Source organism: Homo sapiens, chromosome 4 (genome assembly GCF_000001405.40).
Source record: "Homo sapiens chromosome 4, GRCh38.p14 Primary Assembly".
In the NCBI taxonomy this organism is placed as follows: Eukaryota; Metazoa; Chordata; class Mammalia; order Primates; family Hominidae; genus Homo; species Homo sapiens.
The window spans coordinates 20,621,010-20,645,555 of record NC_000004.12 but is presented as its reverse complement, the minus strand read 5'-3'; the positions used below and the strand labels follow the sequence as shown (position 1 = coordinate 20,645,555).

Below are 24,546 nucleotides of genomic sequence, written 5' to 3'. Positions count from 1 at the left end.
AAAAATTCAAGATATATTACTTCCCCCCCAGTAAAGACAGCCTGAGCATAGACAAAAAGTCTCTGGGTGATTAATGATTAGACTCTCTGAAGAGTGGAGGCATAGAGGAGACAGACAAATGGAATTGAAATGTTGCATGTTACTTTACATTCCCTCAGATGACTCAGACACTCCCTGCACCTTTGTCATTTATTCTATCTTTTAAAAAGTCAGTTCCATTTTCAAGTATCCCAGAGTTCAGTGAGAATCTTGATTGAAGGAGGTCTTCTTTTCTTTCTTTTTTCCTAATGATGATTGCCTTGAGATTAATGCTCTAATATTTTCATGAGTCTCTGTTTCAACAGTAAAATATGGATGCTAAGAGTTATCCTGTAAGAATGCTGTAAGAGTGAATAAAATAACGTAGGTGAACTTTCTCATGCGGGGACTAACACAAAGTAGACCCTCAAAACTGTAGGCATTATTGTCATCATTCTGTGGGATGAACATTGACATTTTGGACTATTCAGAATCCAGTTTCTGTAATTCTTATAGCAAAACCTCTAATTTTCTTTGGAGTTCCATTCCTCCCCCACTCTGACTTTAAGTTGTTCAGATACCATTGAGAAGATCAGACCTTAGCAAACAGTAATAATAACAATTAATTATTTAACAGAACTTTACCAGATGCCAGACATTGTTCTAAGCACTTTTCCTGGATTATCTCATTTGTACACTACCTATAAAGAAGTGTACTGGAGAGGGTAGGAAAGGTGCTGTCACAGAGGAACCCCAAATATTATGATGTAGAGGGCACCGAAGCTTATGTCTCTCTCTTATAATGGTTCTGATGCCAGTGGTCCAGGTCAGCTGTGACAGCTGTGCTCTATGTGCTGTTCAGACACCCAGCTCCTTTTGTCTGAGTCTCTCAGCCGCTTCCAGGACATCATCCTCCACATTTGGAGCTTGATAGCTGCCATGGGTGTGTTTTAGTCGTGCAGACAGGGACAGAGGACATGGAGAAGATATGCCCAACATCTTAATTCCCAGACCTGAAAGAGGCCCGCACTCCTCCCATTGCATTCCACTGGCCAGAACTTATTCACACAGACACACCTAACACAAAGGGAGGCTGGAAAAGTGTAGTCTAGCTGAGCACAAGTTTCTTCTATGGGTGAAGTGGAGAACAGATTTCACCAGGCACTGGGAGTTACAAGTATTAGAGGAAATATAGGTAATATAGGTAAGTAATTATTCACTATTTTACAGCATGGGGAAATAGGCTTAGATAGATTAAATCACCATAAGGGAATCTGTCAGTGCCTGATCTACAGGCCTAATCCTACCAGAAAGTTCCTGTATACACCAATTTCTGGGAGTCTCTGCCTAAGAGAGATTTCCAATCATAGGGCAAGATTGGCCAGCTTGTGGGGGCTAATGAGCAAGCCCTAACCAATGAAGGGCATGAGTTAGTGGATAAATTACCAAAGACTTTTTCTCTCTCTGTGGCACAGTTCTAAGATGTGTTCCACAAAGTCACAGGTCCTTCCATGGGAATTACCCCCAAGTGCACCTAGAAATAACTTGCTCATTAATATACCATCTATTATCTTTCTAAGCTCCCTCTCACTTCTCCATTCTCTCATAGGCTTCATGGGATCACCTCCTAAATGAACTGCTTGCATCTAAATCCGTCTTAGGTTCTGTGTTTGGTCACTGAAACTAATTAAGTTACAGTTAGTAAATAGAGGAACCAGAATCTGAACTTGGCTGGCAGCATCCAGACTTGCCTCTTAATCATGGGGCACAATTTCCCTAAGTCCTCAGAGTGAGACGTGTACCTCACTTATTTTATCTGCTGATAGTGGACACAATGCCTGATACACCAAGTCAGGGAAAGGAAGGATGGATGGTTCAGCCTGGAATGTGGGCTTCCTGAGCTACAGGCATGGGGCTAATTATTTCACATGCCTTAATTTATTTAATCCTTCTCCCAACCCACAAGCTGTCAGTTTACGTAATCATATTTGTATCTCCAGAACAAAGCACAGTGCTTGGCACAGAGTACATCCTCAGCAAATGAGTGTTGAATGACTAAATTGAATAAACTAATGATTCATATGAAGCAGAGGTTACTGTTAATTTTTTTCAGATAAAGAAATTTAAGCTCAGAGAAATCAATGCCATTTCAAGAAAAAAGCTAAAAATAAAGCAAGTAGAGCCATGAAATGTGATGTCTACAGAGTGTTGGTTTTAATCTTGACACTATCCTGAGTTGCACATATAATAATACCTTAGTTTTATCATTAAACCATAGTATGAGAGAGACTGCAAGCATCTATTTTTAGAGAAAGGATTGAGGATCAGAAAGTCTAAATATTAACACAGAGAAGATCACTCAACTAATAGGAAACATACTTCAATTTGAAAACAGCTGTTTGTCTCCAACTTTTATGTGCTTTCCACTATAATACACAATCATAACTAATAACAGCAAACATATGAGTACTAATTATTATTATCCCTTGCCTCCTCCCACTCTCCCCCCGATGACCCCAAAGTCCATTGTATCATTCTTATTAAAAGCATCATACTTTTGATCCATTCTGGAAAATTCTTAACCATTATCTCTTTTAATATTTGCTCTAATTCCATCTATCTTTTTTCCTGGAAACTTTAATAGATGTACATTAGACTTTCTCATCCTTTCATCAATTTATTGTCACCTCTTCTTGTAAGAAATATTTCTCTTTGTTTATTTCATTATTATTATTTTTAATTTTTTTTAAAGATACAGGATCTTGCTATAATACCCAGGCTGGCCTCAAATTTCTGGCCTTAAGGTGTCCTCCCACTTTGACCGTCCAAAGCACTGGGATTATAGGCATGAGCCACCATACATGGCCTCTATTGCATTAATAATTTCTTCAAATCTATTTTCTGGTTCCTAAATTTTCTTTTCAGTTGTATCTATATGCTCTTTAACTCATAGATGCTTAAGTCCAACCATTATATTTTTCATATTTCTCTCATTCTTTTTTTAAACCTACTTGGTCTTGTTCCTGGCTCATATTTTAATTTTTTCTTATTTCCTTAAATATTTAAATATACTTTTTGATATTTTATATCTGATAAATTCCTGTTGATCTTACTTACGCTGGCTTATTTCCTTCAGTGTTTTATATTCTATAACTATGGATTTTTAGCCAATATTTCAATTTCTAGTATTCATCCTCCAGAGAGTATTTGCGTTTGCTTCTGCCAGGTCCCCTGAGGGCTATCAACCTTGGATCACTTTGATTTATTGAGAGGTAATGTAAATTTAAATCTCAAACCCACACAAAGGAGAACCTATGGTTACAGATTTTTCCAGCTTCCTCTTTGGTTTTGGTCCGTGGTAATTTCCTCCACTTTCTTACATACTTGACTATGACTTTAAAAGGGGAACTGTCTTATTTTTCTATTATATCCGGGTATTTTTTGACAAAAGGGATTTAAAAGATATATTTTCTAAAGAATCCTAAAACTCATATGGAACCAAAAAAGAGCCCACATAGCCAAAGCAATACTAAGCAAAAAGAACAAATCTGGAGGCATCATATTTCCTGACTTCAAGCTATACTACAATGCTATAGTTACGAAAACAGCATGGTACTGGTATAAAAATAGTCATGTAGACCAACTGAACAGAATAGAGAATCCAGAAATAAATCCAAATATTTACAGCCAACTGATCATTGACAAAACATACAAAAATGTAGATTGGGGAAATGACACCCTATTCAATAAATGGTGCTGGGAAAACTGGCAAGCTACATGTAGAAGAATGAGGGGTCCTCATCTCTCACCTAATACAAAAATCAACTCGAGATGGATCAAAGACTTAAACCTAAGACCTAAAACTATAAAAATTCGGGAAGATAACATTGCAAAAACTCTTCTAGACATTGGCCTAGGCAGAGTTCATGATCAAGAACCCAAAGTAAATGCAACAAAAACAAAAATAAATAGATGGGACCTAATTAAGCTAAAAAGCTTCTACATAGCAACAGAAATAATCAGCAGAGTAAGCAGACAACCCATAGAATGGAGGGAAATATTTGCAAACTATGCATTTGACAAAGGACCAATATCCAGAATCTACAAGGAACTCAAACAACTCAGCAAGAAAAAAATAAATAATCCCATCAAAAAGCAGGGAAAGGACATGAATAAACAATTCTCAAAAGAAGATATACAAACAGCCAACAAGCATGTGAAAAAAATTTCAACATCACTAATTATCAGGGAAATGCAAATTAAAACCACAGTGAGATGCCACCCTATTCCTGCAAGAATAGCAATAATTAAAAAGTCAAAAAATAAAAGATGTTGACATAGATATGGTGAAAAGGGAACACATTTACACTGTTGGTGGGAATGTAAAATAGTACAACAATTATGGAAAACAGTATGGAGATTCCGTGAAGAACTAAAAATAGAACTACCATTTGATCCAGCAATCCCACTATTGGGTATCTACCCAATGGAAAATAAGAGATTATATGAAAAAGACACATGCACATGCACGTTTGTAGCAGTACAAATGCAAACATATGGAACCAACTTAAGTGTCCATCAACTAATGAGTGGATAAAGAAAATGTGGTATATATACACCATGGAATACTACTCATCCATAAAAAGGAATGAAATAATGTCTTTTGCAGCAATTTGGATGGAGCTGGAGCCATTATTCTAAGTGAGGCAACTCAGGAATGGAAAACCAAATGTTATATGTTCTCATTTATAAGTGCGAGTTAAGATATGAGGATGCAAAGGCATAATAATAATAATATAATGGACTTTGGGAACAGGGCAGAGAGGAAGGTTGGGGTGGAGGTGAAGGATTAAACACTGCATATTGGGTACAATGTATACTGCTTGGGTGATGATCCACCAAGATGTCAGAAAGCACCACTAAAGAACTTATCCATGTAACCAAAAACTACCTGTTTCCCCAAAACTATTGAAATAAAAATATTTTTTTTTCTGAAATACTTCTGGAAATGATAGATATGAAGTTCATGTTTGCTGTATTAATTTTCCACTCTTTCATAAAGGCACTGGATGTATTCTGCAACTCCTTCAGACTGAATTTCTAGGCTCCAACTTGGCAGCAGTGGCCAGATGTGTGGGTAAGAACTTGAGGGAGGGTAAGGTCAATAGAAAGCCAACAGCTCTCTTATTTGTCAGTTAATTTTGCTTGGGAAATGTGGCTAACAATTCCCTAGAAGTACCACCTGGGGTGTGCCCACCTGTTTTGTGTTTGGCATCCCCAGGTGAAGAGCTTTTATGTTAGCCTTGAGTGGGTATCTGTCTTCTCCAAGTTGTCATTCCCAACCCCAGCTACCTATGACCTGCTCTTCTTCTCAGTACCACAACAGAATAATGACTTGGATTTTCTTTTTCCCATAATTTCTGCCCGACTAAATGCCACCTTCTCCAGAAATCCTCTTTTAATTCCCTTTGATCCAACTGATTATATCACTCCCTTTTCTCTGCTACTGCTAATTATGTTACTTACACCTATCACACTATGCCATTATTAATTTCCTAAGTACCTGCCTCTCTTCTCAAAGTAGCAATTACTTAATGACTTGTATCCAGTGTATTCATTTATGTTTATTTAATTCCTAGGAAGGGTCCTTGAGATTTTTTTATTAATTAATGAATTCATTAAGCATTAATTTATTCAATTAATGTTTACAGAGCACCAGCCCTTTACAAGATATCATGATATCCCAGAGCTACAGCAGTAAGAAGATGCAGTGGCAGGAAATTTCCATTGAATTGAATTATTTTCCTTCTTCTTTTTTATTTATTTATTTAAATTGTCATTCTAGCATATTTTTCTTCTTTTTTTAAAATTTTTCTAGTCTTCCATAGCTCCCTGTTGCAGTTATGGTACTTACCATTTTATGGGACATTTACTTCATTGAATGCCCAAGTCTCCACCGTGATTGTTTGTTCTTCCAGGACAGAGCACAATAGCTTATTTATTTTGGCTCTCAATTATCTAGCATAGGGGTTGGTAAACTATGGCTTCTGGGCCAAATTTAGCTTGCTGCCTATTTTTATATGGCCTATGAGCTAAGAATGGTTTTCACATCCTTAAATGCTTGAAAGAAATCAAAAGAGTAATAATTTATGATACATGACAATGAAAATTATATATGAAATATAAATTTCATGGGTATCACCAGCGGAGCCTGCAGAACAGCAAAAATTGCTGCCTTTTCCTTCCTCTGGAAGCTTTGTCCCAGGGGGTCACCTGCCAGATGCCAGTGAGAGGTCTCCTGTATGAGGTGTCTGTCGGCCCCTTATGGGAGGTTTCTCCCAGTCAGGAAAAACCGGGGTTGGGGACCCGCTTGAGGAGGCAGCCTGTCCCTTATCAGAGCTTAGGATAGGAGGCAATTAGAGTTAGATTATGTCATGTGGGTGGAGGCTTCCTGATGGGATTATTGGCCTTATAATAAAAGGAACAGATATTTCCCCACCACTCAACTTTCCCCCAATCCAAGTGTAAGTGCCAAGCAAAGACCATGAGTCATAGTCAGTTCAGACTGCTATAACAAAGTGCCATAGACTGGGTGGTTTATGAACAATGGAAATTTATTTCTATAATTTTAGAAGCTAGAAGTCTGAGATCAGGGTACCAGCATAGTATGGTTCTAGTGATGCCTCACAGGTTAAAGACTGCCAGTTTCTTACACCTCACATGGTGGAAAGGAGGCAAGTCTGTAATCCCAGCACTTTGGGAGGCCAAGGCAGGAGGATTGCTTGAGGCCAGGAGTTGCAGACCAGCCTGGGCAACACAGCAAGATTCTGCCTCCATAAAAATTAAAAATAAAATAAATAAAAGGGCACTAATCCCATTCATGAGAACTCTACCCTCATGACCTAATCACCTCCAAAACATCCCACCTTCTATTTTGGGGGTTATAATTCCAACATATAAACTTTGAGGGGGCATAAACATTTACCCCATAACACCATGTGAGGATGTAGTGAGAAGGTACCATCTGCAAGTCAGGAGAGCCCCCATCAGAAACCAAATCAGGTAGCACCTTGACCCAGAACTTTCCAGATTCCATGCCTGTGAGAATAAATTTCTATTGTTTAAGTTACCCGGTCTATTTTTTTTTTTTTAATAGTAGCCCAAAGTAACTAAGACACTGGGTAATTTTTTTCTGGGTCTTTTAAAAATGGAAAGTCCCGAGCCATAGGAGGCCTTTAGGGTATCAATGTTAAGACCTCTTGGGAAAGATGAAGCTCTGTTCTCCAGTACAGGGGTGATAATAATCTCTTTTTATGTTTGAGAGGCTGAGAGCAGAGACTGCAGGATCTTGAAGGAAGAGCACAAAAGGGAAAGAAAGGGGTTCAGGTTCTGTAAGACAGCAGGCTGGGCTCCTGGCTGAGGAATGCATGTAAGGACAGCTGTGAAGGAACTTTCTGGAAGTTTCTAGAACACTAGCCACATGGGGCTCAGGCAGCAATGATGGTCTTGTGAAAGGAAAATAAACTTTGGATCCCCAAAATCACTAAGCTAAAGGAAAAAGTCGAGCTGGGAACTGCTTAGGGCAAACCTGCCTCCCATTCTATTCAAACTCACCCCTCTGTTCACTGAGATGAATGCACATCTGATTGCCTCCCATTTGTCTCCCATCTACCTGTGATGTGGAAACCCCCTCCCGCTTCGAGTTGTCCTACCTTTCTGGACCAAACCAATGTTCATATTACATGTTAATTGATGTCTCATGTTTCCCTAAAATATAAAACCAAGCTGTGCTCTGACCACCTTGGGCACATGTCATCAGGACCTCCTGAGGCTGTGTCACAGGCCCGTATCCTCAGCCGTGGCAAAATAAAATTTCTAAAATAACTGAGACTTGTCTCAGATATTTGGGGTTCACATTTCAGCAACCATGAAGGGATTCTGAGTGCAGGTGCCCCTGACCTTTGACAAATCTATCTGGAGATTTGGTACCAGCATGAGCTAACTTTATGGCTCAAACCAATAGGACAATTTGTTGAGGTCTGGGAGTATCCCCTTCAGAGAATCCCTGATCTCCCCAAATGTAGTTGAGATCTAAAGTTGATTTTGCTGTACAACTTCCTTTTTCTTTAGAGTTTTACTTGCTTCCAACAAGCAAGACAAGATTTCCTGCTTCTATGACGATGGAAGGCAGGTAACTCCTTTCTGGAGTTTGAGCTCGCTCCCAACAGGGGAGATGAGTTTGAGTGTTTTTTCCTGCTTCTAGGATGGCAGAGAACAGTCTTCAGCCTGAGACCCATTTGAAGGTAAGTTAAGAACCAGCTGGTCTTAATTTCTCCTTACCATTAGAGCACTCAATGTAATATTGTTGGAATTTTTTGTTGTTGTTGTTTGTTCTGTTCTTTCTCTCATCTGATTTGACCAACTCGACCTGACTTGGTCAAATCTGAGTGAGAATTCCAAATTATGGGTAACAAAGCATCTCTAATTTGGATAGCTGCAAAAGAGGAAAAAACAAAGAAACAAAAAACATGTGCTTGGTTTCTGTGTTTGCTTCCTGTCTTAAAAAAAACCACAAATGTTCTTTTATTTACTTTTCTTCCACCTCGTACTTTCTTCCCCCTTTGCCATCTGTAGTACCAAAAAATCTAGAGAAAGCTTCAAATGACTTGAACCACCCCCCCTCTTTTTTTTTTTGAGACAGAGTATCACTCTGTCCCCCAGGCTGGAGTGCAGTGGCATGATCTCGGCTCACTGCAAGCTCTGCCTCCCGGGTTCATGCCACTCTCCTACCTCAGCCTCCCGAGTAGCTGGGACTACAGGCACCGGCCACCAAGCCCGGCTACTTTTCTATATTTTTAGTAGAGACGGGGTTTCACTAAAACCAGGATGGTCTCGATCTCCTGACCTCGTGATCTGCCCGTCTTGGCCTCCCAAAGTCCTGGGATTACAGGTGTGAGCCACCGCGCCCAGCTGAACCCCTTTAAAGAGTTCAGAACAAAGGTGTCACTCGCCCCTCTGCGGGTGTTCTATTTTCTTTGTTGAGTTTCAAGAGCCATAGGCAGCTCTGTTTTCCTCTATTGCATGACCTGACCCCTTTGGCTTTGGAGGTACCAGAGATGACCTTGTACTGTGACAGGATTTGACGTTGGTGTGTATAATGGCAGACAAGAGCTACAAAGCTAGGGGTGGCTGAGCACAGTTTACAGAAAGTGGTCTTGGCTGTTGTTTACTTTCTCCTAGGAAGTTGTTTTTTAAGGATCCTAATTCTAGTTCAGAGATGCATTCTAAAGGATCTTCTCTATTGTCTTTTCTCCCAAAATTAATCTTGATTCAGCTTGTCTGTGCGCATTTGCTCGAGGAACTGAACTGTTGTTTTCATAGATAAATGAGAGACTGAGCTTTCTCGGCTCCAAAGAAAAAGGGCATTTTGCTCCTCCCAGACAAAAGGCACCCCTGGGTGACTGAGGACCTGGTGGGAGTGTCTGCGGGTTTGACTCCCAATAATGTGCAGTGGCCCAACAGGAAAATCCCAAAAATTAAAAAAAAATGGCTCATTCAGTGTCAGGCCTCTGAGCCCAAGCTAAGCCATCATATCCCCTGTGACCTGCACGTACACATCCAGATGGCCGGTTCCTGCCTTAACTAATGACATTCCACCACAAAAGAAATGAAAATGGCCTGTTCCTGCCTTAACTGATGACATTATCTTGTGAAATTCCTTCTCCTGGCTCATCCTGGCTCAAAAGCTCCCCTACTGAGCACCTTGTGACCCCCACCCCTGCCTGCCAGAGAACAACCCGGCTTTGACTGTAATTTTCCTTTACCTATCCAAATCTTATAAAACGGCCCCACCCCTATCTCCCTTCGCTGACTCTCTTTTCAGACTCAGCCCGCCTGCACCCAGGTGATTAAAAGCTTTATTGCTCACACAAAGCCTGTTTGATGGTCTCTTCACATGGATGTGTATGAAATTTGGTGCCGTGACTCGGATCGGGGGACCTCCCTTCAGAGATCAATCCCCTTTCCTCCTGCTCTTTGCTCCGTGAAAAAGATCCACCTACGACCTCGGGTCCTCAGACCCACCAGCCCAAGGAACATCTCACCAATTTTAAATTGAGTAAGCGGCCTCTTCTTACTCTCTTCTCCAACCTCTCTCACTATCCCTCAGCCACTTTCTCCTTTCAATCTTGGTGCCACCCTTCAATCTCTCCCTTCTCTTAATTTCAATTCCTTTCATTTTCTGGTAGAGACAAAGGAGACACATTTTATCTGTGGACCCAAAACTCCGGCGCTAGTCACGGACTCGGGAAGGTAGCCTTCCCTTGGTGTTTAATCATTGCAGGGACGCCTCTCTGATTATTCACCCACGTTTCAGAGGTGTCTGACCATGCAGCGACGCCTGCCTTGGTCTTTCACCCTTAGCGGCAAGTCCCGCTTTTCTGGGGGAGGGGCAGGATCCCTGACCCCTTCTCTCCCTGTCTCTACCCCTTTTCTACTTTTCTGGGGGGCAAGAACCCCCTGATCCCTTATTTCCACACCGACCCCTTATCTCTGTGCCCCGATCCCTTATTTCCATGTCCTGACCCCTTATCTCTGCACCCCGATCCCTTATTTCCACATCCACTCCCAGATCCCTTATTTCTGTGCCCCGACCTCTTATCTCTGCACCCCAACCCCTTATTTCTGCATCCTGACCCCTTTCCCGCTTTTCTGGATGGTAAGAACCCCCGAACCCCTTCCCTCCATGTCTCTACTCCCCCTTTTCTTTAGACTTGCCTCCTTCACTATAGGCAACCTTCCACTTTCCATTCCTCCTTCTTCTCCCTTAGCCTGTGTTCTTAAGAACTTAAAACCTCTTCAACTCTCACCTGACCTAAAACCTAAATGCCTTATTTTCTTCTGCAATGCCAGTTGACCCCAATACAAACTCGACAGTGGTTCCAAACAGCCAGAAAATGGCACTTTCATTTTTTCCATCCTACAAGATCTAGATAACTCTTGTTGTAAAATGGGCAAATGGTCTGAGGTGCCTGATGTCCAGGCACTCTTTTACACATCAGTCCCTTCCTAGTCTCTGTTCCCAATGCAACTCATCCCAAATCTTCCTTCTTTCCCTCCCGCCTGTCCCCTCAATCCCAACCCCAAGCGTCGCTGAGTCTTTCTAATCTTCCTTTTCTACAGACCCATCTGACATCTCCCCTCCCAATTCTTCCTCAGCCTCCCCTCCTCCACCCTATAATCCTTTTATCACCTCCCCTCTTCACACCCGGTCTGGCTTACAGTTTCTTTCCTCAACTAGCTCTCCCCCACCTGCCCAGCAATTTCCTCTTAAAAAGGTGGCTGGAGCTAAAGGCATAGTCAAGGTTAATGCTTCTTTTTCTTTATTTGACCTCTCCCAGATCAGTTAGCGTTTAGGCTCTTTTTCATCAAACAGGAAAAACCCAGCCCAGTTCATGGCTCATTTGGCAGCAACCCTGAGACGCTTTACAGCCCTAGACCCTAAAAAGTCAAAAGGCCGTCTTGTTCTCAATATACATTTTATTACCCAATCCACTCCCGACTTTAAATAAAGCTCCAAAAATTAAATTCCGGCCCTCAAACCCCACAACAGGATTTAATTAACCTCGCCTTCAAGGTGTACAATAATAGAAAAAAGTTGCAATTCCTTGCCTCCACTGTGAGACAAACCCCAGCCACATCTCCAGCACACAAGAACTTCCAAACGCCTGAACCGCAGCAGCCAGGTGTTCCTCCAGAACCTCCTCCCACAGGAGCTTGCTACAAGTGCTGGAAATCTGGCTACTGGGCAAAGGAATGCCTGCAGCCCAGGATTCTTCCTAAGCCACATTCCATCTGTGTGGGACCCCCCCTGAAAATCTGACTGTTCAACTTACCTGGCAGCCACTCCAAGAGCTCCTGGGACTCTGGCCCAAGGCTCTCTGACTGACTCCTTCCCAGATCTTCTCAGCTTAACGGCTGAAGACTGACACTGCCTGATCGCCTCGGAAGCCCCCTAAACCATCACGGATGCCGAGTTTCAGGTAACTCTCACAGTGGAAGGTAAGTCCATCCCCTTCTTAATCAATACGAAAGCTATCCACTCCACATTACCTTCTTTTCAAGGGCCTGTTTCCCTTGCCTCCGTAACTGTTGTGGGTATTGATGGCCAGGCTTCTAAACCTCTTAAAACTCCCCAACTCTGGTGCCAACTTAGACAATACTCTTTTAAGCACTCCTTTTTAGTTATCCCCACCTGCCCAGTTCCTTTATTAGGCTGAGACACTTTAACTAAATTATCTGCTTCCCTGATTATTCCTGGGCTACAGCCACACCTCATTGCCGCCTTTTCCCCCATTCAAAGCCTCCTTCATATCCTCCCCTTGTATCTCCCCATCTTAACCCACAAGTATAAGACACCTCTACTCCCTCCTTAGCGACCGATCATGCACCCCTTACCATCCCATTAAAACCTAATTACGCTTACCTTGCTCAATGCCAATATCCCATCCCATAGCACACTTTAAAAGGATTAAAGTCTGTTATCACTCACCTGTTACAGTATGGCCTTTTAAAGCCTATAAACTCTCCTTACAATTCCCCCATTTTACCCGTCCTAAAACCAGACAAGACTTACAGGTTAGTTCAGGATCTGCACCTTATCAACCAAATTGTTTTGCCTATCCACCCCGTGGTGCCAAACCCATATACTCTCCTATCCTCAATACCTCCCTCTACAACCCATTCTTCTGTTCTGGATCTCAAACATTGCTTTCTTTACCATTCCTTTGCACCCTTCATCCCAGCCTCTCTTCGCTTTCACTTGGACTGACCCTGACACCCATTAGGCTCAGCAAATTACCTGGGCTGTACTGCCGCAAGGCTTCACAGACAGCCCCCATTACTTCAGTCAAGCTCAAATTTCATCCTCACCTGTTACCTTTCTCTGCATAATTCTCGTAAAAACACACGTGCTGTCCCTGCCAATTGTGTCCGACTAATCTCCCAAACCTCAATCCCTTACAAAACAACAACTCCTTTCCTTCCTAGGCATGGTTAGCGCGGTCAGAATTCTTACAAAAGAGCCGGGACCGCACCCTGTAGCGTTTCTGTCCAAACAACTTGACCTTACTGTTTCAGCCTAGCCCTCATGTCTGCGTGCAGCAGCTGCCGCTGCTTTAATACTTTTAGAGGCCCTAAAAATCACAAACTATGCTCAACTCACTCTCTACATTTCTCATAACTTCCAAAATCTATTTTCTTCCTCATACCTGACACATATACTTTCTGCTCCCCCGCTCCTTCAGCCATACTCTTTGTTGAGTCTCCCACAATTACCATTGTTCCTGGCATGGACTTCGATCTGGCCTCCCACATTATTCTGGATACCACACCTGACCCTCATGACTGTATCTCTCTGATCCACCTGACATTCACCCCATTTCCCCATATTTCCTTCTTTCCTGTTCCTCACCCTGATCACATTTAGTTTATTCATGGCAGTTCTGCCAGGCCTAATCGCCACTCACCAGCAAAGGCAGGCTATGCTAGAGTATCTTCCACATCTATCACTGAGTCTATCGCTCTGCCCCCCCTCCACTACCTCTCAGCAAGCCAAACTAGTTGCCTTAACTCAAGCCCTCACTCTTGCAAAAGGACTACACATCAATATTTATAGTGACTCTAAATATGCCTTTCATATTCTGCACCACCATGCTGTTATATAGGCTGAAAGAGGTTTCCTAACTATGCAATGGTCCTCCATTATTAATGCCTCTTTAATAAAAACTCTGCTCAAGGCCGCTTTAGTTCCAAAGGAAGCTGGAGTCATTCACTGCAAAGGCCATCAAAAGGCGTCAGATCCCATTGCTCTAGACAACGCTTATGCTGATAAGATGGCTAGACAAGCAGCTAGCTTTCCAACTTCTGTATGTCACGCCAGTTTTTCTCCTTCACATCAGTCACTCCCACCTACTCCCCTGCTGAAACTTCCACCTATCAATCTCTTCCCACACAAGGCAAATGGTTCTTAGACCAAAGAAAATATCTCCTTCCAGCCTCACAGTCCCATTCTATTCTGTCATCATTTCATAACCTCTTCCACATAGGTTACAAGCCACTAGCCCGTCTCTTAGAACCTCTCATTTCCTTTCCATCCTGGAAATCTATCTTGAAGGAGATCACTTCTCAGTGTTCCATTTGCTATTCTACTACCCCTCAGGGATTGTTCAGGCCTCCTCCCTTTCTTACACATCAAGCTCGGGGATTTGCCCCAGCCCAGGACTGGCAAATTGACTTTATTCACATGCCCCGAGTCAGAAAACTAAAATATCTCTTAGTCTGGGTAGGCACTTCCACTGGATGGGTAGAGGCCTCTCCTACAGGGTCTAAGAAGGCCACTGCAGTCATTTCTTCCCTACTGTCAGACATAATTCCTCTGTTTGGCCTTCCCACCTCTATACAGTCCGATAGCAGACCGGCCTTTATTACTCAAATCAGCCAAGCATTTTTTCAGGCTCTTGGTATTCAGTGAAACCTTTATATCCCTTACGGTCCTCAGTCTTCAGGAAAGGTAGAATGGACAAATGGTTTTTTAAAAACACACCTCAACAAGCTCGGCCACCAACTTAAAAAGGACTGGACAATACTTTTAGAACTTTCCCTTCTCAGAATTCAGGCCTGTCCTTGGAATGCTACAGGGTACAGCCCATTTGAGCTCCTGTATGGACGCTCCTTTTTATTAAGCCCCAGTCTCATTCCAGACACCAGACCAACTTGGACTGTGCCCCAAAAATCTTGTCATCCTATCTTCTGTCTAGTCGTACTCCTATTCACCATTCTCAACTACTCATACATGCCCTGCTCTTGTTTACACTGCTGGTTTACACTGTTTCTCCAAGCCATCACAGCTGATATCTCCTGGTGCTATCCTCAAACTGCCACTCTTAACTCTTGAAGTAAATAAATAATCTTTGCTGGCAGGACTATGCTGAATCTCCTTAGGCACTCTCTAATTAGATGTCCTGGGTCCTCCCAATTCTTAGATCTTTAATACCTGTTTTTCTCCTCTCTTATTCCGTTTAGTTTTTCAATTCATACAAAACCGTATCCAGGCCATCACCAATAATTCTAAATGACAAATGTTTCTTCTAACAACCCCACAATATCACCCCTTACCACAAAATCTTCCTTCAGCTTAATCTCTCCCACTCTAAGTTCCCACGCCACCCCTAATCCCACTCGAAGCAGCCCTGAGAAACATCGCCCATTATCTCTCCATATCATCCCCCAAAATTTTCGCTGCCCCAACACTTTACCACTATTTCATTTTATTTTTCTTGTTAATATAAGAAGACAGGAATGTCAGGCCTCTGAGCCCAAGCTAAGCCATCATATCCCCTGTGACCTGCATGTACACATCAAGATGGCCGGTTCCTGCCTTAACTGATGACTTTCCACCACAAAAGAAATGAAAATGGCCTGTTCCTGCCTTAACTGATGACATTGTCTTGTGAAATTCCTTCTCCTGGCTCATTCTGGCTCAAAAGCTCCCCTACTGAGCACCTTGTGACCTCCATCCCTGCCCACCAGAGAACAACCGCCCTTTGACTGTAATTTTCCTTTACTTACTCAAATCTTATAAAACAGCCCCACCCCATCTCCCTTTGCTGACTCTCTTTTCGGACTTAGCCCGCCTATACCCAGGTGATTAAAAGCTTTATTGCTCACACAAAGCCTGTTTGGTGGTCTCTTCACATGGACGTACATGAAATCCAGGAAATGCATATAAGGGCTGATCACTCAGCGTTTTAATCCCTCTCAGAGGTTATAGACCTCTGGAGAGAGAAACTGAAACATGTAAGAGAGTGGAAACAACTCAGTGGTGACATGCTGAGGAGTCCTGCCCAAAAGCAGCACATATCAATCCACCACACTTAAACCCCAGGCCACAGCTCAGTTCCTCCTTTAAAAAAAAAAAAAAAAAGTGGGAAACAACCTAAGAATAAGGAAAAAAAAAAAAAGGAGAATGACCCTCTTTCAATGACTCTGTAAGTTTTATGGCACCTCTACTTGCCAGAGTTTAATGTAAAATAGAAGCAATATGGTCTTTGTGCACATTTACATTAAGGAAAAAGAGCCCTAAGGTCGACCTGCAGACTGTGGAGTTCCTAAGTTCCCTTTTTCTCTAGTTTCTTTTCTGTCTGTTTCAAATCAGCTGTTATTTTTCTACTAAGATAAAAACCACTGTTTGGGTCCAGCAGGGTCTTTTTTTGAAAGCCAGTGAATTTATATTTATCTCATGCCTAAAGTTCTGAAGTAAAAACTATAGGATCTTTCTCTATGTGTGTGTGTGTATGTGTGTGTGTGTGTGTGTGTGTGTGTGTGTGTGTGTGTGTATGTTTAAAAGGCCTTTATAATTTCTATAATTTTATGTTTAATTGGCAATTAAATTCATTTTAATTTCCCTCCAGCACAACAGACTTTTTCTTTCTGTACCTTATGATGTAAATTTTGCTATTTGATTTTCACCTGAGTTGTTTCCTTTAATATGCAAGTTTAGGTTATTTAGCTGACAACTGCCTAGGGTAATGAAGCATGTTATCAAGAATTTGAAAGTCTAAGGAAAAACAAGAAGGTCTTTGTGAATCCATAAGATGTACTTCTATCAACATACCTAATACATCTATGTATTTATGTGTTCTGTACACAATATTTCACTACTGAAAATATATAAAAGAGCTCTAATTCATTGGCTTAAGAAAATAAAAGTGCTTGAATCAAATACCTCATCAGGGAAAAAGAAAAGACTAGTCAAATGCTTTTTCTAGTTTACATAACAAGTAAAATATTGAATAAATAAGCTAGCTTTAAATTATTGGTAAAGTAATATTAGAAATGTCTTAAGAATTGCCAGGATACATTTTTGTTTGCATTTATTGATCAAGAAATTTTATATTTATCACTGCCAAATACTATAAGGTGTTAAAATTTGGCATGTTACAAAACTATAAACCCAGTCCAAAACAGAATGATCCTTGCTTATGTAATTTTAAATAAATAAGACATTAATAATGGTTTAATGAAAATAGCTACATCTTGAATTTAGTAAGATTACCATAATTTCTAATCTTTTGGCTTTAGGCAGTCTAGTCCACAGGGAAATAAGGTTTGTTTTGGGAACGAACTGTTACAATTTTTGTTTCAAATCTAAACTATAAACTAAGTTTCTCTCTACCTGATTTCTCCAAAATTTGGAAACTATTTGTGAGAATTCTTAACTTAGGGCAATACAGTTATTAAGAATAAGAATCTGTTTTCATTTGCAACAGTACACAATCGGACAAGCTGGTTATTTCCAAGGCTTTGACTGGAATGGTGTGCTTTCCTTTAAGGAATGAAACTTGACTTATGGAACCAATAAAGCTCCTTTGGGAAAACTGGCCTCATATCTTGTCTGCACAGTCCCAGTACAGGGTTCCTGACCTGTGATAAGTAAAGAATGTAACTTTCTGACAGGCCCAGGAGCCCCCAAGTTTATCTTGGCACCTCAAGATAAGAGGAATTCACCCAACTCATAGGTATTTGATGGTACAAACCCATGGCTCAGCTCAGCTTTTAAAAAGTCCTGTCTGAGATTCCTTCTATGGAACAAAGTTCCATCAAAGCCAATTTTTAAAAGCCTATATAATAAAAATAATTATTCTTGCTACACTGTAGACAAATAATTAGGCCAAGTATAATAAAGCAAATTAGTCCTACCATGATTTGTCTTGAGTGAAAATGGGAAATTAGAGAGAGAAAAATTATGTTTCAAAAACTATAGTACACCTGTTGTCAGATTCTAGTCTTGCCTAATGTTTTTCAATTTTTATTATTTTATACAGTTGGGACCAAATTCTAATTTTTCTTGACTATAAGTCTTTAAAATCATGTTTTCAATTTTTTCCTTCTTTTTCTCTCTCAATTTTCCTAATTTGGAGTCACTGAAAAGTAACCTGTGCTTTCTTAAAGCTGTGTGAACTGAAGCTGGACAACTTAAACTTCAGAAGAAAATAACAGCAACCTATTTACATACATAATTCCCTTTCATACTTGCCTACTGATGTGTGGATTTCAGTGTAATGCGGCCTATATCAATTTTCCAGGGTGGTTCTTCTGTTTGTTGTTTTTCTCCCTTTCTCCCCATATTTTCTCTTCATAGGACATGAGACAGCCTGCTAAAAATGATCTTTCCTAGTAACTTGGGACCTACTTGTCTAGGAGTACACTATCCTAGCCATGAAAAGTCAGACAAAACCTGAGATCAGAGACTCATCTTCTTCTAAAATGTTTTCTCCAAATATTTTAAAAAAGAAAAAGGGGGGAAATATGAAAGGACAATAAATCTCGGGGCCCCCAAATCACCAAGCTACAGGGAAAAGTCTTGCTGGGAACTGTTTAAGGCAAACCTGCTTCCCATTCTATTCAAAGTCACCCCTCTGTGCATTGAGATAAATACATATCTGATTGCCTCTTTTGCAGAGGCTAATCAGAAACTCAAAAGAATGCAATCATTTGTCTCTTATCTACCTATGACCTGGAAGCCCCCCTTTCCACTTCGAGTTGTCCTGCCTTTCTGGGCTCAACCAATGTTCATATTACATATGTTGATTGATGTCTCATGTCTCCCCAAAATGTATAAAACCCAGCTGTTCTCTGACCTCCCTGGGCACACCTCCTGAGGCTGTGTCACAGGGGTGTGTCCTCAACCTTGGCAAAATAAACTTTCTAAAATAACTGAGCATGTCTCAGATATTCAGGGCTCACAGTCTCATCCAAAGAGGCTGCCACCTGGTCATCACATTTTATTTTAGAAATGTTACCATTAAGTCCCCAAATTCCCTGTGAGGTATAAGTTTGCTGCGTTCTGAATCTCAGAGGGACAGCTAATTTCTTCACTGCAGTCTCCTGCTCTCTATGTAACTCAGAGACAGGTGGATTCCAGGTGTGTTCCCTCGGACACTGATGCTGCGTACATGAGGTTTATGAGGGAGTGCTCTAAAGGTTACCATCTGTGGATGGAAGGAAAAGAAGCAGGCTTGGGCAGAAGGAAAAGTTGTGCTGTGATGCTGTGTTAAAGAAGGTTTCAGCTCATCCCACGAGGACCTGTGAACTGGGATAGCCCTTCATTAATGTCCTGAACTAGGGAGAGGGGTCAGATCTTTATATCCCTGCATCAGACTGCCCTAGGAAAGGTGTATGATATTGGGCAAGACGTTGGGCAAGATTTTACTTCAGCCAGGTAATTCCACAGTTGGCCGAGAGCTGAGGACTGTCCACTGGGAGAGGCCCCAGAAGCTGGCAGGATAAGTCCTTTGGTCCTGATGTTTTCCTGGCAGATATATCACAGTGTCCATAGAAGACTGTCTAGGGCATGCTAGTGTCTCCTGAGAAATGGGGTGGATACACACTTCTATTACATTGTAATGTAAAAGAAGTAAGACCTAACCTGGGGTGAGAAAAGGAACCTGGAAAGGTAACTCCCCCAGTGTTCTTAGGCCAAAGATGTTTTTCCCATTATGGACCCACTGGTCAGGTGCCATACTGAAACTGGTTTTCTGTGTACTGACATTCTGCTTTTAAAAGGAATAGAATTCAAGTGAAGGAGATGAGAGTACTACACAAAGCTGTAACTATTACCCTTTTAGATTTGGAAATCAGTCAATTCTTTGAGTGACTTAATTTTTTTCCTTTATTTCTACATTATTCCACATTCCTATGTGTATGTGTGTGTGTCTCTGCATGTTTGTGTATGTGTATACATCAGGGTCTAGAGGATCAGCCCTAGGTTTGACTCCGCTGCGCTGCCTGGGTCTCGTGCCTCCTGGGTGTGCTCAGTTGGGAAAGAGCAGGATGTGAATTGCTATACTGCACTTCCTCATTCTCAAACTGTCTTTTCTATTGGTACAATTGTGTGTCAATTTTCTAAAATATGGAAGCATTTACAAGAAAAGGGAAAAAAGGAAAACAAGTTTAAATGAGGAAACAGAGATATAATGATTTCTACTTCCTTTACTGAACTGTTAGACCAGCAGGTGCTTTTTTGCCAAATGATAAGTGATTTATTTCCCAATCAAACAGGGTATTGTACGTGTCATTCAGAAATGTGTTCCTGCTCATTCAGAGCTCTGAAAAAGAGTTGACAAACATCAGAGGAGAATTGTGGCTAACGCAGAAATAATAGGAAGAAAAAAATCAATGTAGAGATGTAATTGAAGGTAAGATGTAATTGAAAGTGGTAGAGGTAATTGAATGGTAATATTGTGAGCAGAGAGCAAGCAGGATCAAGCAAGTGCAAGATTAGGCAATTCAAAGATGTTCATCTTTCTCCTTTCTGAGATAACACAGGCCCCTGAGATTATGGTTAAGGGACATTATCAAACATGCTCATTCAAATAGAAATTCCTCTATAGCTTTTTTTTTTTTTATCTTTGTCTCTTTTTTCCTTACAAAGAATATCTGTGAGCTGGATTGAGTCCAAGAATGTGACTTTGCAGCTGATATAACTGGACTACGGCATGTTTGGTCCTGTCCTTGTGACTATCTTAGCAATGGAATTCAATTGCTCCAGGTCAGCCCACTCAATCAAGGCATATCTGACCAGAAAAATGACCAAAAATACTGAAGCAACCATGTACATTCCCATCCCTCCGTTTTCATTTTTTGGAAGCAAATTTCACTAAAAAGCACTATTTATTTTCCTTTACCCAGTGGGAGATATTTAAAAAATGCATTTTTATTGGGAAAGTGAGTGCTATTCATGGGCATTTTTTCAAACCAAAATAACTCCCCTTGAGAAATACTTACTCCTCCAGCATTATCTCACGGGGTTGTTGATAGAGTTTGCCTTTCAATTCCAGTGAAATCAATATTGCATTATGGCTGGAGTCAGGAGACCTGGATTGTGCGACCTTGGGCAAGTCACTTAATCTCTCTGCAACCATCTATGTGAAAAAAACAATGAAAATAATTCTAGCCACTTCAAGAAGGGAGAGTTAGATTAATCATAGCAGATTTTCTAGACAATCGTCTCTGTGGCTGTTTCTTACACTCCCTGTTTTCTTGTGTGTGCTTTTTAATTTTTGATTCTCTTTTGAATCTAAATTCAGCTGGCCACTTATTGACACAATGACAAAGCTAATTCCCAATGCCGATGGTGATGCCTCTGCTCAGCTGAATTTAATATCTCTGGACAAAGCCCTTGAAATGCTGTATCCCCTTTGTGAGGGGAAGAGGAGGAAGGCAATGGAGAACTCCATTTGGTAAAGAATTCTTGCATATACATTGCTCTCTTCACTCTGAGTGATTTTGTGACTTCTTACTCTCAGGCATCCTGTTTCCTCAACCTCACTGTATCTGGCTTCTGCTTTTTACATCCACTGATCAACAAGCTTATGTAAGGGATGACTTAGGTTGGTCTTGCTCTTCCAGCCTGGTTCTCAGGATGGTCCCCAGAGTATACCTCAAGTGCTTGCCCCACTTCTTTACAAGCTGTTACTATAGGTGATAAACCAATACTTATTGATTCATTGAATGACAACCCTGTGACCTCACCAACTTTTCCAGCTGCCATTCCCTCTTCTTCTTTTGTTATCAGACTTATTAAGAGAACAGTCTATTATTCCTTACCCACGACTAGCCAGTGACTACCTCATTGCTTTCTTTCTTTCTTCCCCTTTCTTTCTCTCTATTCTGGGACTGCTTCATTCCAGAAATGGATCATCTAAAGTGGGGTTAGTTTTCTGGTTAAGTTCATTCTGTTGTGTTTCTAATTTAGCTTGCCCGTTTTCTTAGCTTCAACTACCACCTGTATGTGGATGAATCTCATATCCACAAGGTGGCCATTCCAGCCCAGAAATTGCTTTCCAATATCCCTCCCTAGCATTTGTCAATCTAAGAGCACATACTGAAGGCCGATTTGAGACCACTATGTGAGTAATCTGGAATACCAAACTAAAGAGTTTGGATTTTATCTTACAGTGGGAGTTAGAGATATGTTTTCAAATAATCTAGAGGAATACATTGTTTTCACTCAACAGAGCAGAGGGTGGGTTGGAGGTCAGAAGGCTAGGGTTTCCCAGCCCAATGCAGTCACCATGATGTCACTAAAACTCAGATTTTAATTGACACCTAATGAACAGATATTTTCTGCTACGTTTCCAGTTGATTCATTTCCCAAGTCTCTGGTCTTGGTATGAACAGGGCAGGAAAAATGCACATGAGATTCAAAGCATGCATTGGCCAGCGGTTGTTTTTTTTCAATCCAGCTTTATCAGCCCTCAGTTCATGAATATTCACTACTATTCTTAATTTTCAGTGCTACTTCAAGTATTTCTATTTTCCATATCCTCAGAGATATTTCATTTGGAAGTTTAGAGGAGCTACATTAGGCACAGCCAAATAGCTGCTATTTTAAAATGGAAATCCCTTCTTGTTGATGTTTTGAGACCTCACTGCAAACAGATGCTCAGAAGAAAAATATGGACTATATGGTGAATTAAGAAATCCTGAAAATGGTCACTGTTGTGTTACACACAAGAAGCAATTGTATACCTCACAGCAGCCACACTAAGTTCTTTTGTTTCCTTGACCACATGAGTTATTTTCCTCCTCTGGCCTACACACAGGCTGCTCTCTCTGCGTGAACTCCCAACCCCTATCCTTACACAAGCTTCCATCTGCCTCCATCCTAGACTCTATTTGATCCTTCATGACTTGGTTTAAATGTCACTTCCTCAGAGAGGCATTCCCAAACCTCCTTACACTTATTTGATTGGATTCCTCTGCTATTCTTTCTTCTAATATCACATAACTTCCTTCAGGATGCTTATCACAATCTGGAATTATGTATCAGTGTGACCATTTGTATAATATCTATTATCCACTTCAACTTCAACCCCAACTGCATAGAGTGTAAGCTCTAAAATGGCTGAAGTGATGTCTGTTTCATGTGAAACTGTATATCAAAAGTTTAGTGTAGCTTCTTGCACATGATAGGAGATAGGAAATATAGATGTGTTGTTAACTGATTTTTGAATACATAGGAATAAAAATGAAGATAAGTATGTAAAACTTTGTATGAAGCTTCCTATCCTTGTATAGCTTCCTTTCTTGTGAATGTTATTTTTGAAATAATGGTCACTCCATGAGGTAGATGACACCATAAAGCTTGAGGTCTTTAAGGACTGAATCAATTTCAACAGTCTTTTGATCATTTCTCCAGAAAGAATTGCTGCTGACAAAGCAAATCACCCAAAAAAGAAAACTCTCAGAGCAATTTAAAAATAGGGGTTCATCTATATTGCTTAGAAATAATTTCAGAAAATCTGTAGTGAAAACAAATTCCAAAGATGACTGAGATGGTTGTTATTCAATGAACACATTTTAAATCAAACACATGTCAGACCCCTATGGCATTTCCTGATGGTGCCTCATTCATGTGAGAATTTAAATTAAAATACATTAGAGATGTTTAGCCACTTTATCATTTCATATTACAATGCACATTATTCCATGTATAGCTTTGATTCTAAAATGCATGATTTTTTTTTTGTTTTTAATGCATAGAGTTCTGTTGGATATGCTCTGGAATAGTTTCCTATTTAAAGTAATCCTATTGGCAAGACCTTCTAAGTAAGGAACCTTTTATAATATGAATAATTACCCTAAATTTATCTTGTTTGTTAGTAATTACTTGGCTATTGGATTTATTTTTAAAGGGTGCATGCACAGGAGACAGTGACATCTCAAGGCAAACAATCCCCTAAGAAACTTGCTAATTCAGCTCATATCTCAGACAGCCGTCATTTTATTTTGTGTCTTTATAAGCAGGAAGGAGAAAAAACACAGTCTGGAAGCTATGAAGGTTTCACTTTTGTTTTCCTTAAAAAATGAAATAGCAAATGTAAAGTCTCTAGTCTGGATTACTTAAAACTACATAATCAAGAAGGAAAAATTATTGGGCTGTGGAATAAGGCTCCAAGGCTTGAAAGTCCCCAAGTAGAGGTAGTAGTTACTAAGCTGTTGCCCTAATTACAGACAATGTGGTCTGGAACACCTGACTGAGGTGGATCCAGCTCCTCTGTTTATGAGCCCTGTATGCATGTATAAAGCAGAAAGTGCAATAATCTCATGGTTTTATATACATTAATGAGATATTTCATAGAAAACCCTGAGCATAGTACCTGGCATATAAGAAGCACTCAAAAAACAGTGGCTATATGGATAATACATGTCTGTAAACACAAATCTAAATCACGTCATCGTCACAGATGTTTCTTTGTTTAATGAATGATTTAAACCCCTTGGAAAAAAGAAGTAATCAATGGGAATAAATAATTTACAATAGCTATACAATTGTCTCTATAATTACAATTTAGACATTTTAAACAAGAATGAATAAATAGTTGGATGTCTGTGTCTGTGAGAGAGACCGAGTGTGTATGTGTGTGTGTGTGTGCATGGTTTTTTGTTTGTTTGTTTGTTTACAGG

At 40.6% G+C, this 24,546-nt stretch overlaps 4 annotated features.

Moving 5' to 3' along the window:
- Positions 11,403 to 11,902: an enhancer, noted in NCBI's record as "H3K27ac hESC enhancer chr4:20635277-20635776 (GRCh37/hg19 assembly coordinates)". NCBI's record gives its function as "activates a minimal SCP1, AML or CMV promoter by ChIP-STARR-seq in primed H9 embryonic stem cells {active_cell/tissue: H9 hESC(primed)}" and the evidence as "EXISTENCE:reporter gene assay evidence [ECO:0000049][PMID:30033119]".
- Positions 11,903 to 12,404: an enhancer, noted in NCBI's record as "H3K27ac hESC enhancer chr4:20634775-20635276 (GRCh37/hg19 assembly coordinates)". NCBI's record gives its function as "activates a minimal SCP1, AML or CMV promoter by ChIP-STARR-seq in primed H9 embryonic stem cells {active_cell/tissue: H9 hESC(primed)}" and the evidence as "EXISTENCE:reporter gene assay evidence [ECO:0000049][PMID:30033119]".
- Positions 15,242 to 15,948: an enhancer, noted in NCBI's record as "OCT4-NANOG hESC enhancer chr4:20631231-20631937 (GRCh37/hg19 assembly coordinates)". NCBI's record gives its function as "activates a minimal SCP1, AML or CMV promoter by ChIP-STARR-seq in naive H9 embryonic stem cells {active_cell/tissue: H9 hESC(naive)}" and the evidence as "EXISTENCE:reporter gene assay evidence [ECO:0000049][PMID:30033119]".
- Positions 15,753 to 15,852: an enhancer, noted in NCBI's record as "active region_21364". NCBI's record gives its function as "activates an Ori minimal core promoter by ATAC-STARR-seq in GM12878 lymphoblastoid cells {active_cell/tissue: GM12878}" and the evidence as "EXISTENCE:reporter gene assay evidence [ECO:0000049][PMID:35858748]".